At 44.2% G+C, this 14291-nt stretch overlaps 1 protein-coding gene across 2 annotated transcripts in view; it reads left to right on the top strand.

The window, feature by feature from the left end:
* Positions 1-14291, top strand: part of RNF10 (ring finger protein 10) — a 43233-nt gene that overhangs the window by 19802 nt on the left and 9140 nt on the right. Inside the window, exons 4-13 of one of the 2 annotated variants that reach the window (NM_001330474.2) lie at positions 561-651; positions 3125-3309; positions 3389-3525; positions 6569-6729; positions 8788-8913; positions 9175-9466; positions 9653-9786; positions 10915-11032; positions 11271-11372; positions 12668-12823. In NM_001330474.2, coding sequence (NP_001317403.1) covers positions 561-651; positions 3125-3309; positions 3389-3525; positions 6569-6729; positions 8788-8913; positions 9175-9466; positions 9653-9786; positions 10915-11032; positions 11271-11372; positions 12668-12823 — 1502 coding nt within the window. The remainder of the gene's footprint in view (positions 1-560; positions 652-3124; positions 3310-3388; positions 3526-6568; positions 6730-8787; positions 8914-9174; positions 9467-9652; positions 9787-10914; positions 11033-11270; positions 11373-12667; positions 12824-14291) is intronic. The other variant, NM_014868.5, reaches the window with a different exon arrangement.

The following is a 14291-nucleotide window of genomic DNA, read 5'->3' on the forward strand; positions in this document are numbered from 1 at the left end:
GCCTCCCAAAGTGCTGGGATTACAGGTGTGAGCCACCATGCCTGGCCTAATTTTTCTATTTTTAGTAGAGATGGGGTTTCACCCTGTTGGCCAGGCTGGTCTCTAACTCCTGACCTCAAGTGATCCACCCACCTTGGCCTCCCCAAGTGCTGGGATTACAAGTGTGAGCCACTGTGCCTGGCCGAGAACAGTCTTTTCAACTGCCTTGAAGACTAGCCATTTTCTGGGGTTCTAAGGGGTGAGAGAGGAAATCTGGCTTACTGCTGTTTGATGGAGTCACGGTCTAGGTTAATTTTAGTTCAAGGGATGCCTTTGGGGAATTTGGCTGGACTTGAAGCAGAAGAAAACAGTTCATGGATTTAGACTTCTGCCTGCTGAGTCTTTGGGTTCTTTCCAGAGCTGGAGCTCAGAACTGAGGCTGAGGTCCTAGTGCAGTGCCTCATGAACCAGGGCTGCTAATGGCCTGCATTTGATTTCTAAGTGAATAGATGACAATTTCTGCTGAGGGTTTATTGGTAGATCCTGACAGTCTAGCTTTTTCCTGTCTTTCCTATTTCTAGCTGCCAATTTGTGGTGTCTGAAGACCAAGACTACACAGCTCATTTTGCTGATCCTGATACATTAGTTAACTGGGACTTTGTGGAACAAGTGGTGAGTAGCTCAGCCAAGCCCATAAGCTATGAATGGGAGCACTAAATAAAGGCACTGTGGTGACGCAGCAGCTGTTGGCTGTGTGCACTGCTTGATACCCTTTTCTGCCTGGCCTTTCTATAGATGTTTCCCAGAGGTCAGTTCCTGGTTCTTCCTGGAGTCCATTTTGTGACTAATTGGCTCTGGCCTGTAGGGATGGTGTATGAAAGGCTCTGATCTGAAGATGTGTAAGCTGGGAAGTAGTAACCCCTTACCCTCCTGATCTGGGTTGGGCTCATTACAGGGCCATTGCTTCATTGGCAGCCATTCGTAGCAATCACTATCAAAGTAGGCCTCAGCCTTGTGGCAGGGAGGCACATGAATGAGCCACACAGTTGTACTTTTCTTTTTTGAGAAAGAGTCTCACTCTGTTGCCCAGGCTGGAGTACAGTGGTGTGATCTTGGCTCACTGCAACCTCTGCCTCCAGGGTTCAAGCAATTCTCATGCCTCAGCCTCCTGAGTAGCTGGGATTACAGGCACCCGCCACCACGCCTGGCTAATTTTTGTATTTTTAGTAGAGACGGGGTTTCACCTTGTTGGCCAGGCTGTTTTTGAACTCCTGACTGCAAGTGATCCACCCACCTTGGCCTCCCAAAGTGTTGGGGTTACAGGCGTGAGCCACTCTATCTGGCCCAGTTGTACTTTTTTTTTTTTTTGAGACGGAGTTTCGCTCTTGTTGCCCAGGCTGGAGTACAGTGGTGCAATCTTGGCTCACTGCAACCTCTGCCTGCCAGGTTCAAGCGATTCTCCTGCCTCAGCCTCCCGAGTAACTGGGACTACAGGCACGCACCACCACTCCCAGCTAATTTTTTTTTGTATTTTTTTTTAGTAGAGATGGGGTTTCTCCATGTTGGTCAGGCTGGTCTTGAATTCCTGACCTCAGGTGATCCTCCCGACTTGGCCTCCCAAAGTGGTGGGATTACAGGCATGAGCCATCGTACCTGGCCTCTTTTTTTTTTTGAGACAGTCTTGCTCTGTCGCCCCAGCTGGAGTGCAGTGGCGCGATGTTGGCTCACTGTAACCTCCACCTCTTGGGTTCAAGCAATTCTCATGCCTCAGCCTCCTGAGTAGCTGGGATTACAGGCGTGCACCACTATGCCTGGCTAATTTTTGTATTTTCATTAGAGACGGGGTTCCACCGTGTTGTCCAGGCTTGTCTCAAACTCCCAGCTTCAAGTGATCAACCTGTCTCGGCCTCCCAAAGTGTTGGGATTACAGGCGTGAGCCACCACGCCCAGCTTCAGTTGCACTTTCAAAGCCACTGATGTGTTTTCTACTGAAGTTATAAACTCTAGGTATCCCCTTGTTGGTCCTAGTAGGGTATCTGTTGAAGAATAATAATTTCAAAATGATGGGCACTTTTTCTTTATGAGCAGGGGCTTTTGACCTTAAAGCTTGAACTCTCGCCGGGCGCGGTGGCTCACGCCTATAATCCCAGCACTTTGGGAGGCTGAGGCGGGCGGATCACGGGGTCAGGAGATCGAGACCATCCTGGCTAACACGGTGAAACCCCGTCTCTACTAAAAAAAAAAATTAGCCCGGCGCAGTGGCGGGTACCTGTAGTCACAGCTACTTGGGAGGCTGAGGCAGGAGAATGGCGTGAACCCGGGAGATGGAGCTTGCAGTGAGCCGAGATGGCGCCACTGCACTCCAGCCTGGGTGACAGAGTGAGACTCCGTCTCAAAAAAAAAAAAAAAAAAAAAAAAAAAGCTTGAACTCTCACTACTGTGAAAATGTATAAAATCATCTGAGAATGACATAGCATAAAAACTTAAGTTTTATTAAAAAAAAATGAAGTCTTTTTAATGCGTTCTTTGTTGGAAGTTACTGGTAGATTACTTCTAGACCCTTTTTAGGCCTTTATGCATACATATTAAGTTTTTTTATAAATGGGAATATAGTGATTTGTCACTTTTTTCTATTTAATGTAGAACCCCCAACATACCTGTTGTGTATTAGTTTTATTATATTTAACGGTTATTATGGTTTCCTTGATGCTTTGCTTAAAGAGCTATCATACAAAGCCAGGCGCGGTGGCTCACGCCGGTAATTCCAGGACTTTGGGAGGCCGAGGCGGGCGGATCACAAGGTCAGGAGATCAAGACCATCCTGGCTAACACAGTGAAACCCCGTCTCTACTAAAAAATTAGCTGAGCGTGGTGGCAGGCGCCTGTAGTCCCAGCTACTCCAGAGGCTGAGGCAGGAGAATGGCGTGAACCAAGGAGATGGACCGTCTCAAAAAAAAAAAAAAAAGAAAAAAATGATCATACATGTACCTACGTTGTAAACAATTTTAGAAAGATATGTTGAGTATAAGGATGTACGGGGATAGAGATGAGAGAGATGCGGATGAGAGAGTAGAGAGGCCTAAAACTTTGACAGTCCCTAATCAGTTCTTCAAGCAGTGAACCTTCTGGTGGCATTTTGTTTCAGCGCATTTGTAGCCATGAAGTGCCATCTTGCCCAATATGCCTCTATCCACCTACTGCAGCCAAGATAACCCGTTGTGGACACATCTTCTGCTGGGCATGCATCCTGCACTATCTTTCACTGAGTGAGAAGACGTGGAGTAAATGTCCCATCTGTTACAGTTCTGTGCATAAGAAGGATCTCAAGAGGTGAGATTGAGACATTTACTCAGTTAGATCCCAATCTCTTCACTCCTTGCCCTGCTACATATGAGTGTCCATGTTTCAGTGTTGTTGCCACAGAGTCACATCAGTATGTTGTTGGTGATACCATTACGATGCAGCTGATGAAGAGGGAGAAAGGGGTGTTGGTGGCTTTGCCCAAATCCAAATGGATGAATGTAGACCATCCCATTCATCTAGGAGGTGAGTTCTTTAAATTTTGGGGACAAATAATCCTGGGTACATTCTTTAAGGTGATTGAATATATCTAAGCATCAGAAAGTGAAGCCTTTGGGCAGGGCACATCTGGCATGTTCATATTAGTCATAGGATTCCAGTAGGTTAGGGTGGGGTTTGTAGAGAGTAGATTAATTATTGGTTTCAAGTTTGTTTAATCTATACATCCTAATTTTTCATTTTACAAGGTTTTATTACATAGTGTCTTTCACTGTGCCCAATCTTAGAGGTTCTGTGGTCAGCCAGTCTTGGTGCCTGTCGTCAAGAAACTCAGTAGTCCGATAGAAGAGACAGACTGGTAGACTGGCCATTAGGATAAAGAGTGTGATAAGTGCTCACAATGAATGCCAGAGATGTATTCCCTGTGTTTCATGCAGAAATGAGCATTTGATTAAAATAGCATTTCAGTCTCTGGGGAAAAGATAGATTTCTCAATAAATGGTATTGAAACAATTGATTCTCCCTAAGGAAAAAATAAAATTAGATTCCTATTTCATACCATTCATGAAATTAATTCCAGATAGATTGAAGAAGTAAATGTAAAAAATCCAAAAGTTTTAACCTTTTTATTTAAAAGAAAATATAGGACAATTTCTTTATAAATCCTCAGATGTGCATCTGTCTGAAGGATTGTGTGTTCTCATTTGGGTGGTAAATGTGTGTGTGTAATATTTTTTTCCTAGTGATTTTGACTGTTTAAATGTTTAGCAACTTAAAACATTAAAAATGTGTATTAATTAAAAAAAAATCCTCAGATATGGGTGGATTTTTGAACCAGGCTGAAATGATAGATGCTGTAAAAGACTGATAAATTTTATTTTTATTTTATTTATAGATATATAATATAATATGTATATATATATTTTTTTTTGAGACAGAGTCTGGCTCTGTCACCCAGGCTGGAGTGCAGTGGCATGATCTTGGCTCACTGCAACCTCTGCCTCCCGGGTTTGAGCGATTCTCGTGCCTCAGCCTCCCGAGTAGCTGGGACTACAGGCGCCCGCCACCATGCCTGGCTGATTTTTTTTGTATTTTTAGTAGAGACGGGGTTTCACCATGTTGGCAGGCTAGTCTCGAACTCCCGAGCTCAAGTGATCTGCCCGCCTTACCTCCCAAAGTGCTGGGATTACAGGCGTGAGCCACTGTGACCGGCCAAGAAAACCACTTTTAGTGTCCACAGAATTTTCGTTAATGAACATACCATCATGTCATTAACCCTTTATTTGAGATGGAATCTCACTTTGTCGCCTGGGCTGGAGTGCAGTGGCAATAATTACTTTTAATTAATTAAATTCATTAAAATAATTAAAATTAATTTAATTAATTAAATTAACTTTTAATTTTAAATTATTTTTTTTATTTTAAAAAATTAACTGGGCATGCAGGTATAGTTAATTTTTTATTTTTATTTTTAGCAGAGATGAGGTCTTGCTATGTTGATAGGCTGGTCTTGAACTACTCTTTTTTTTTTTTTTTTTTTTTTTGAGACGGAGTCTTGCTGTGTTTCCCAGGCTGGAGTGCAATGGTGTGATCTCGGCTCACTGCAACCTCCACCTCCTCGGTTCAAACGATTTTCCTTCCTCAGCTTCCTGAGTAGCTGGCATTTCAGGCACCTGCCACCACGCCCGGCTAATTTTTGTTTTTTTTGTGTGTGTGTGTTGTGCTTTTTTTGTTTTTGTTTTTGTTTTGAGATGGAGTCTCACTCTGTTGCCAGGCTGGAATGCAGTGGTGCAATCCCGGCTCACTGCAATCTCCGCCTCCCAGGTTCAAGAGATTCTCCTGCCTCAGCGTCCTGAGTAGCTGAGATTACAGGCACGCACCACCACACCTGGCTAGTTTTTGTATTTTTAGTAGAGACGGGGTTTCACCATGTTGGCCAGCATGGTCTCAATCTCTTGATCTTGTGATCCGCCTACCTCAGCCTCCCAAAGTGCTGGGATTACAGGTGTGAGCCACCGTACTCCGCCTGGTGTTATTTTTTTTTAATTTTATTTTTTGAGGCAGAGTTTTGCACTTGTTGCCCAGGCTGGAGTGCAATGGTGCGATCTTGGCTCACTGAAACCTCTGCCTCCTGGGTTCAAGCGATTTTCTTACTCCAGCCTCCCTAGTAGCTGGGATTATAGGCGCCCGTCACCACGCCCAGCTAATTTTTTGTATTTTTAATAGAAACAGGGTATCTCTATGTTGGCCAGGCTGGTTTCGAACTCCTAACTTCAGGTGATCCACCTGCCTCAGCCTCCCAAAGTGCTGAACGTGAGCCACCACACCCAGCTGGCTTGGTCTTAAACTTCTAAACTCAAGCAATCTTCCTGTCTTGGCCTCTCAAAGTACTGGGATTATAGGTGTGAGCCACTGCGCTGGTCCACCATTTCTTTATTCTTTATTGTTGGTTTTACTGGTTGGTTTGAGCTTTTCTTTTTCTGTGTGTGGTTTTTTTTGTTTTTTTTTTTTTTGAGACAGAGTTTCGCTTTTGTTGCCCAAGCTGGAATGCAGTGGCATGATCTTGGCTCACTGCGACCTCTGCCTCCTGGGTTCAAGCGATTCTCCTGCCTCAGCCTCCCAAGTAGCTGGGATTACAGGCATGCCCTACCAGGCCCGACTAACTTTTTTGTATCTTTAGTAGAGACGGGGTTTCACCATGTTGGTCAGGCTGGTCTCGAACTCTTGATCTCAAGTGATCCACCCGCCTTGACCTCCCAAAGTGCTGGGATTACAGGTGTGAGCCATGGTGCCTGGCTGGTTTGAGCTTTTCTGATATTACATACAATGCTGTAACAATAAACGCGTGACTAAAGTTTTGACTACATCTCTGGGTTTCTTAGATTTCTTATATCAAGAGCAGAGCTACAGACCTTATTTTAAGACCATTGTTAAATTATTTTCTAGGAAATCATGCTAAATTACCCCATTTTCACCCCAGAGAAAAGGCTGTATTTGAAAATTCCTATTTAGCTACACCATCGTGAGCTTTGAATGTTGCATTTCTTTGATCTTGCTGGCATTCTTATAGATGAACAGCACAGCCAGTACTCCAAGTTGCTGCTGGCCTCTAAGGAGCAGGTGCTGCACCGGGTAGTTCTGGAGGAGAAAGTAGCACTAGAGCAGCAGCTGGCAGAGGAGAAGCACACTCCCGAGTCCTGCTTTATTGAGGCAGCTATCCAGGAGCTCAAGGTGAGAGGATGCATTGGAGATGCTAAACCTTTTCACTTTCTCGGCGTTCTGTGGTGAAAACCAGAAATGCTAAACCTTTTCACTCTGTCGGGGGTGAGATGATGGACGCTGGGGATTAAGTTAGTTCCATTCCACATTTAAGACAATAAGCAGAGAATGGCTAAAAAAGCCAATTTGTTTTGGGCTTTGTTTGATGACAGTAGAGAAGGTTTAACCTAGGGCTTTTAAAGCTCTTTCTAGAGCTGAAAGGAGCAAGTCAAAATGATTTTATAACTAATTGTGACAGTGGAGTTTTTTAGATTAGCTATGTTCTTAAAGCAAGTTAGAGTTCTTTGTTTTCTGGGAAAATACTTAAGATTCTATTCTAGAGGTGTTTTGAAAGACATTGTGGAGAAAGTATTATGGCCTGCCCAGTATGCCTTAGGAGTACCTGAAACGGCAAGAATTACACAAGAACAGAATTCCCTGGGTCTTTTATCTTCCACAACAGAGATTCTTGAAGCATCACAACCACTGGTTGTTAGGTCCCACTTTGAGATATTGATTGCATAGGTTAAGCTCAGTAGGCTCAGTAATTTGCATATAACAAGTTCTAGGGTGATTCTGATGGCTGCTCATCCCCAGACCACACTCCTGGAACCACTGATCTAGCTTAGAGCAATAGAAGCCCATATTTATTGAGTGATCAGCATTTGATAGGACTTGTGCTATACACATTTATCTCACTTAAGCTTCTAGTGTGGTAGATAGAACTATCCCCTTTCATGGATGAGGAAACTGAATCCTGGGTTGGGTAATTTGCTAGTAAGGGATGCAGCTGGTATTTGAATTCCCTTCTCCCTGACTCCCAAGGGCTCCTTGGGTAGAGTCCTGTGTATTTAACTTTTGCTTTCTTTCTATAATACGTTGCAGCCGTATTTGTTCAAATGCCATTACAGGCATAAGAAAGGCTACATAGAATTAGAGCTGTCCAGGCTGAGGTGGAGTTAGCTAAATCCTTCCTACTACTCTGGACCTCTGTCTGAGCATAGTTTGTAAAAACTAGGTTAGTTTCATGTTCTTAGATTTCTGTTCTGGAAGTTTTTTGTATAGTGTTGTTTGTGTCAGATTCTCTTTTATTTTTTTTAACTTTTAAGTTCAGGGGTACAAATGCAGGTTGTTACATGGTAAACCTGTGTCATGGGGGTTTGTTATACAGATTTTCACCCAGGTATTAAGCTTAGTACCCATTGGTTATTTTTCCTGATCCCCTCCCTCCTCCCACTCTCCACCCTCTGATAGGCCTCAGTGTGTGTTCCCCTCTATGTGTCCATGTTTCATCATTTAGCTCCCACTTAGAAGTGAGAACATGTGTGCGATATTTGGTTTTTCTTTTTCTTTCTTTCTTTTTTTTTTTTTTTTTTTTGAGACAGAGTTTTGCTCTCGTTGCCCAGGCTGGAGTGCAGTGGCGTGATCTCGGCTCATCACAACCTCTGCCTCCAAGGTTCAAGTGATTCTCCTGCCTCAGCCTCCTGAGTAGCAGGAATTACAGGCATGCCCCACCATGCCTGGGTTATTTTGTATTTTTAGTAGAGATGGGGTTTCTCCATGTTGGTCAGGGTGGTCTTGAACTTCCAACCTCAGGTGATCCGCCCACCTCAGTCTCCCAAAGTGCTGGGATTACAGGCATGAGCCACCACACCTGGCCGTATGTGTCTTTACAGTAGAATGATTTATATTCCTTTGGCTATATACCCAGTAATGGGATTGCTGGGTGAAATTTTATTTCTGTCTTTAGGTCTTTGAGGAATCACCACACTGTCTTCCACAATGATTGAACTAATTTACACTCCCCAGTGTCAGATTCTAAGCAGATTCCAATCCTTAGTGGGTATTGCATGCTTTTTGCTTCCTGTTTCCCTCAAAGTTGAGATATTTAAGCACCTAATTCCTTCCCATTGGGTCTCATTGCCTTTTAACTTTTGGTCCTGTTGAGAGGCCATTCTAAGCCCTTGCCCTTCAAGCTAAGTGTGTGTCTGGAAACTTAACCTTCTCTGGTGTTCTCTCTGGCCACGTTAGACTCGGGAAGAGGCTCTGTCGGGATTGGCCGGAAGCAGAAGGGAGGTCACTGGTGTTGTGGCTGCTCTGGAACAACTGGTGCTGATGGCTCCCTTGGCGAAGGAGTCTGTTTTTCAACCCAGGAAGGTTAGTGTGTTCCTGTTACTAAGTGGCTGCCGTTCCTCAAATGCTGTCATTGAGCTGGTAGGCATTACTGTGAGATCTAAACCTTCTCAAGAGAAGAGGGGACAATGAGTATTTTCTGTATGCTTGTTATTAGTTCTTTCCCCAGGGGTGTTAAATCAGTGAACACGACAGCTAAGATAAACATCTAGGGAGCTTGGCTCTTAGGTCTGCATTTGCCACATTGCTTTCGGAAAGCAGGAGATATCCTTTCTGTTGACTTAGAGTTTGCTGCAACAGGGTGTGCTGGAGTATCTGTCTGCCTTCGATGAAGAAACCACGGAAGTTTGTTCTCTGGACACTCCTTCTAGACCTCTTGCTCTCCCTCTGGTAGAAGAGGAGGAAGCAGTGTCTGAACCAGAGCCTGAGGGGTTGCCAGAGGCCTGTGATGACTTGGAGTTAGCAGATGACAATCTTAAAGAGGGGACCATTTGCACTGAGTCCAGCCAGCAGGAACCCATCACCAAGTCAGGCTTCACACGCCTCAGCAGCTCTCCTTGTTACTACTTTTACCAAGGTGAGGGTGCCGGAAGAGAGGGCTGGGTTGCCGCAGAGGTGTTTCAGAGGTGACCCGGTGCTCTAAGCAGAGGAGCGCCACTAGATCCTGTGGCTTGGGTGGCTTGAGCCCTTGGGCATGGGGAGGGGTGGGGAGCCTCCTGGGGACTGGCCAAGACTGGTGTGTGATAGAGCCCCTTGTCCTCAGCGGAAGATGGACAGCATATGTTCCTGCACCCTGTGAATGTGCGCTGCCTCGTGCGGGAGTACGGCAGCCTGGAGAGGAGCCCCGAGAAGATCTCAGCAACTGTGGTGGAGATTGCTGGCTACTCCATGTCTGAGGTGAGGCCTTCCTGTAGAAATGGAGGGTCAGGCAGCAGTATTAACCTAATCTCTTTGAGGTAGGCCTAGCCATCCTAAGTTCACAAACCTTCAAGGCCTTTAGTTTTTGTATTTTTAGTCTTTCTGTCAGTGATGGTGCTGTGAATTCTTTGTAAGTGAAGTGTCCCCTCAGCATGCCAGGGTTCTGTTAAATCAGTTAATGCTGTTCCCTGCTTCTCTGGTTCATTGATTGTAGTTTGGGGATATAGATATTTCTTTTATTTAAGATGGAGTTTATTTTTGTTTCTTATCCTCCTTATTGCTTGGGAGAAATGTCACAAATTTGTTGTAAGATTTAAAATTAGACTCTTTGAGTACTATAAATTTTTCATCAAACATATGCAGAAAAAGAATAGAAATGAAAATAAATGGGCTGGATGTGGTAGCTCACACCTGTAATCCCAGCACTTTTGGGAGGCCTACTCAGGCAGATTGCTTGAGGCTAGGAGTTTCAGACCAGCCAGGGCATTTCTACAAAAAATACAAAAAAAAATTAGCTGGGTATGATGATGTGCACCTGTTGTCCCAGCTCCTCAGGAGGCTGAGGCAGAAGGATCACCTGAGCTGGGGAGATCAAGTCTGCAGTGAGCTGGCCTGGGCGGCAGAGCAAGACCATGTCTCAGAAAAAAAAAATTGGGCTTCATTTTCTACTATTTCAGGCCAAGTGTCTTTCAATAGGGAGATCTGCTTTATCTTCCTTCCCAGTTATTTATTCTGTCAGTGGTTCCCAGGTTTTTTTCTGTTCTGTTTTTCTGCCAACAAATAACTTTATCTTCTCTGTTCGTCCCCCTCAGCTGTGGGGCCTTGAAAAAATCAGAAACAGCTGATGGGCTTTAGATTATTTGTTGCTGGACTCAGTTCACTCCTTTGCAGTACAAACCAAAAATAACTGGATTTGGTTGCTTATTCCACCTTGCTGTAGGTTGACAGTTTCTCTTTGGCTTTTCAAAATGAGGATAATTGAGCACTACTGTTTCCAGCCCCAGTGCTGGCTGTGTTATGTATATATTGTTGGATATCGGGGTTAGGACCCCCTGCTTTCAGAGTTAGGCTTGCTTTTGTTGAGTATTGGTCCTTTTTCCAATGTAGGATGTTCGACAGCGTCACAGATATCTCTCTCACTTGCCACTCACCTGTGAGTTCAGCATCTGTGAACTGGCTTTGCAACCTCCTGTGGTCTCTAAGGAAACCCTAGAGATGTTCTCAGGTGAGAATGCCCCTGCTCTGCTTCTCTTTATAGTAGGGTTCAGGGATTCTTGTGGCTAGACACCCAGTGGGGGAGGAAACTTATGGAACTGTATCATGAGTCTTAGTACCTCCTAAACACTTCATCTGTTCATCTAGTCCAGCTGGGCCTACTGTTGTGGGTTTAGCTGCTAATACTGGGAGGAGGTAATGACCATGTTGTCCTGGGTCTACCTCTTTACAACCTGACCAATCTGCAGATGACATTGAGAAGAGGAAACGTCAGCGCCAAAAGAAGGCTCGGGAGGAACGCCGCCGAGAGCGCAGGATTGAGATAGAGGAGAACAAGAAACAGGGCAAGTGTAAGTTCAGGAACTTTCATCTTTGACTAGCACTGCTGTACGTCGTTGTATAGAACTCTGTGTCTGGGACCTGGGAGCCAGACCTTAGCCACTTGTTTTCTTCAACTTTTAAATGTGAATCATGAGAGCACCTCCTTAATAGGCTTGCTTGCAAATATAATGAGTTAATATGGGTCAAAGTGCCTAGCACATAGTAAGGATTAAGAGGAAATTCAGCCTTGGTAATAGTGGGTGATATACACCTGTTCCAGAGATGGGAATTGGGGCTTCGCTAAGAATGCTGGGGGCCATCGTTCCCCATGCTCTCTGGATCACTGACCTTACCTCTGACTCTTTATTAAAGGGACCAGCTATACACAGCAAGTCTGCCAGGTGGGTCTGATAAGATGGAAATTTTGATAGACTAGGAAATGCAGGAAGTTGGATTTAAGAGATCTTTCGTAGCAGTAAGCACAGCCTTTTGATCTGGTTCTCCAAAATAAGTTTCATTGAATCCAGGGGATTAGTGTGACCTGAGGTCCCATTATCCACTAGAACACAAGGAACTGAGTCCTTGGCCCAGAAAAGGACTTCGGTGTTTTGACTCCATATGGCATGGAAACATACATTTTATATCTCAAGTGGGACAAGTGTATACTTGGGGTCCCAACACCGTGTAGGTGTTTGGCACATGTCCTGAACTTTGAGAAAACTGATATTTCAGGAATAGGATTTTTTGTTTTCACCTTTTTATTATGGAAATATCAAGACAAGTAGAACAATGTAATTAACCTGCATGTTTGTTACCCAGCCTCAATTATGAATAGTTAGAACAAGGTTAACTATATTAAAGACATTATAGAAGGACAGTTATTGTAAATTTGGGTTTTAGCTTTTGTCTGCATCCTCTAGACCTTTGGGGGTACGCATGTGTGATGTCCTCAACTGTTGGAAACTATTTGAAAAATTCAGGCCAGGTGTGGTGGCTCACGTCTATAATCCCAACACTTTGGGAGGCCAAGGTGGGCAGATCACTTGAGCTCAGGAGTTCAAGACCAGGCTGGACAACATGGTGAAACCTCATCTCTTTAAAAATTCAAAAAATTAGCTAGGTGTGGTGGCACGTGCCTGTGGTCCCGGCTACTCGGGAGGCTGAGGTGGGAGGATCGCTTGAGCCTGGGAGGCAGAGGATGCAGTGAACAGAGATCGTACCACTACACTCCAGCCTGGGTGACAGAGTGAGACCCCATCTCAAAAAAAAAAAAAAAAAATTGAATTCTGTAAATGGGTTTACAAGGGTTATCTTTCCTTTGCAGACCCAGAAGTCCACATTCCCCTCGAGAATCTACAGCAGTTTCCTGCCTTCAATTCTTATACCTGCTCCTCTGATTCTGCTTTGGGTCCCACCAGCACCGAGGGCCATGGGGCCCTCTCCATTTCTCCTCTCAGCAGAAGTCCAGGTTCCCATGCAGGTAAACAGGTGAAATTTAATGAATTCACCCATCAGTTAGACCTTATGCAAAGCTTTGGTGTCTGAGTTTACAACCCCGGCCCACTCAGCATGGTGTGGACTTCAGGGGCATAACCTTACTTTGGTAGTCCTGAGGTACATCAAATTCTTTTATTCATCTTTCCCACTTGCTATACTGACTGCTTTACCCTGCCAGCTTCTAAGCACCTCAAGGAGCTCTTTAGGCAGGATAGTTGAAAATGGAGTCTTCCCTTTGACCCACCTATTTTTGTTTCTAGTTTTTGTTTGAGATACTCCCCTGTATGCCTAAACATCTTTGTACATGTCTCTTTATTGTAGCATCGTTTTAATAGCTCAAAAAAAAAAAACAGTTTAGAAAGCCTACCAATAAGAAAATGACTAAATTATAGTATTTATACTGTAAAATGTTTCACACCAGAAGGCCGGGCGTGGTGGCTTATGCCTGTAATCCCAGCACTTTGGGAGGCCAAGGCGGGTGGATCACGAGGTCAGGAATTCAAGACCAGCCTGACCAACACAGTGAAACCCTATCTCTACTGAAAATACAAAAATTAGCAGGGCATGGTGGCAGGCGCCTGTAGTCCCAGCTACTTGGGAGGCTGAGGCAACAGAATTGCTTGAACCTGGGAGGCGGAGGTCTCAGTGAGACAAGGTTGCGTCACTGCATTCCAGCCTGGGCGACAGAGCGAGACTTTGTCTCAAAAAAAAAAAAAAAAAATCACACCTGTTAAAGAAGGGAATGTAATTCTTCTATTCACGTACTAATGGGAAGATAAAAGTAATTTGTAGAACAAGAATAAATGTTCGTGGGTTTTAAAAAAACACCACCACCACCACAAAACTAAAGCATTTCATTATGGGTGTGTGTGTGTGTGTGTGTGTATGTATATATATATATGTAAATGTATAGAAAAACTTCTGTTAGAAGGCAGGGGAGGAAATAAAAAAATATTAAATGTATAGAAAAGAATTGAAGGCCAGGCACGGTGGCTCACACCTGTAATCTCAGCACTTTGGGAGGCCAAGGTGGGCAGATTCCCTTGAGCTCAGGAGTTCAAGACCAACCAAATTTTGTCTCTACAAAAAATACGAAATTTAGCCAGGTGTGGTAGTGTGTACCTGTAGTCCCAGCTACTTGGGAGGCTGAGGTGGGGAGATGGCTTGAGCCTAGGAGGCAAAGGTTGCAGTGAGCCCAGATTGGGCCACTGCACTCTAGCCTGGGCAACACAGCCAGACCCTCTCAAAAAAAAAAAGAAAAATACTGAGACAGATGTGTTCCAAATTGGTAGTAGTGTTACATTCTAAGGAATGAGACTGGATTGAAATGTTCAAATGGGCCTTTAGCCTTCAAAAAGTTTGTCTTATATATAAAGAATGTTTAAAGTGTTATGAAATTAAACATTTATTAAAGAGTTACTATAATTTCAGAGAACTATCTTTTGTGATCT

Source organism: Homo sapiens, chromosome 12 (genome assembly GCF_000001405.40).
Source record: "Homo sapiens chromosome 12, GRCh38.p14 Primary Assembly".
Lineage (NCBI taxonomy): Eukaryota > Metazoa > Chordata > Mammalia > Primates > Hominidae > Homo > Homo sapiens.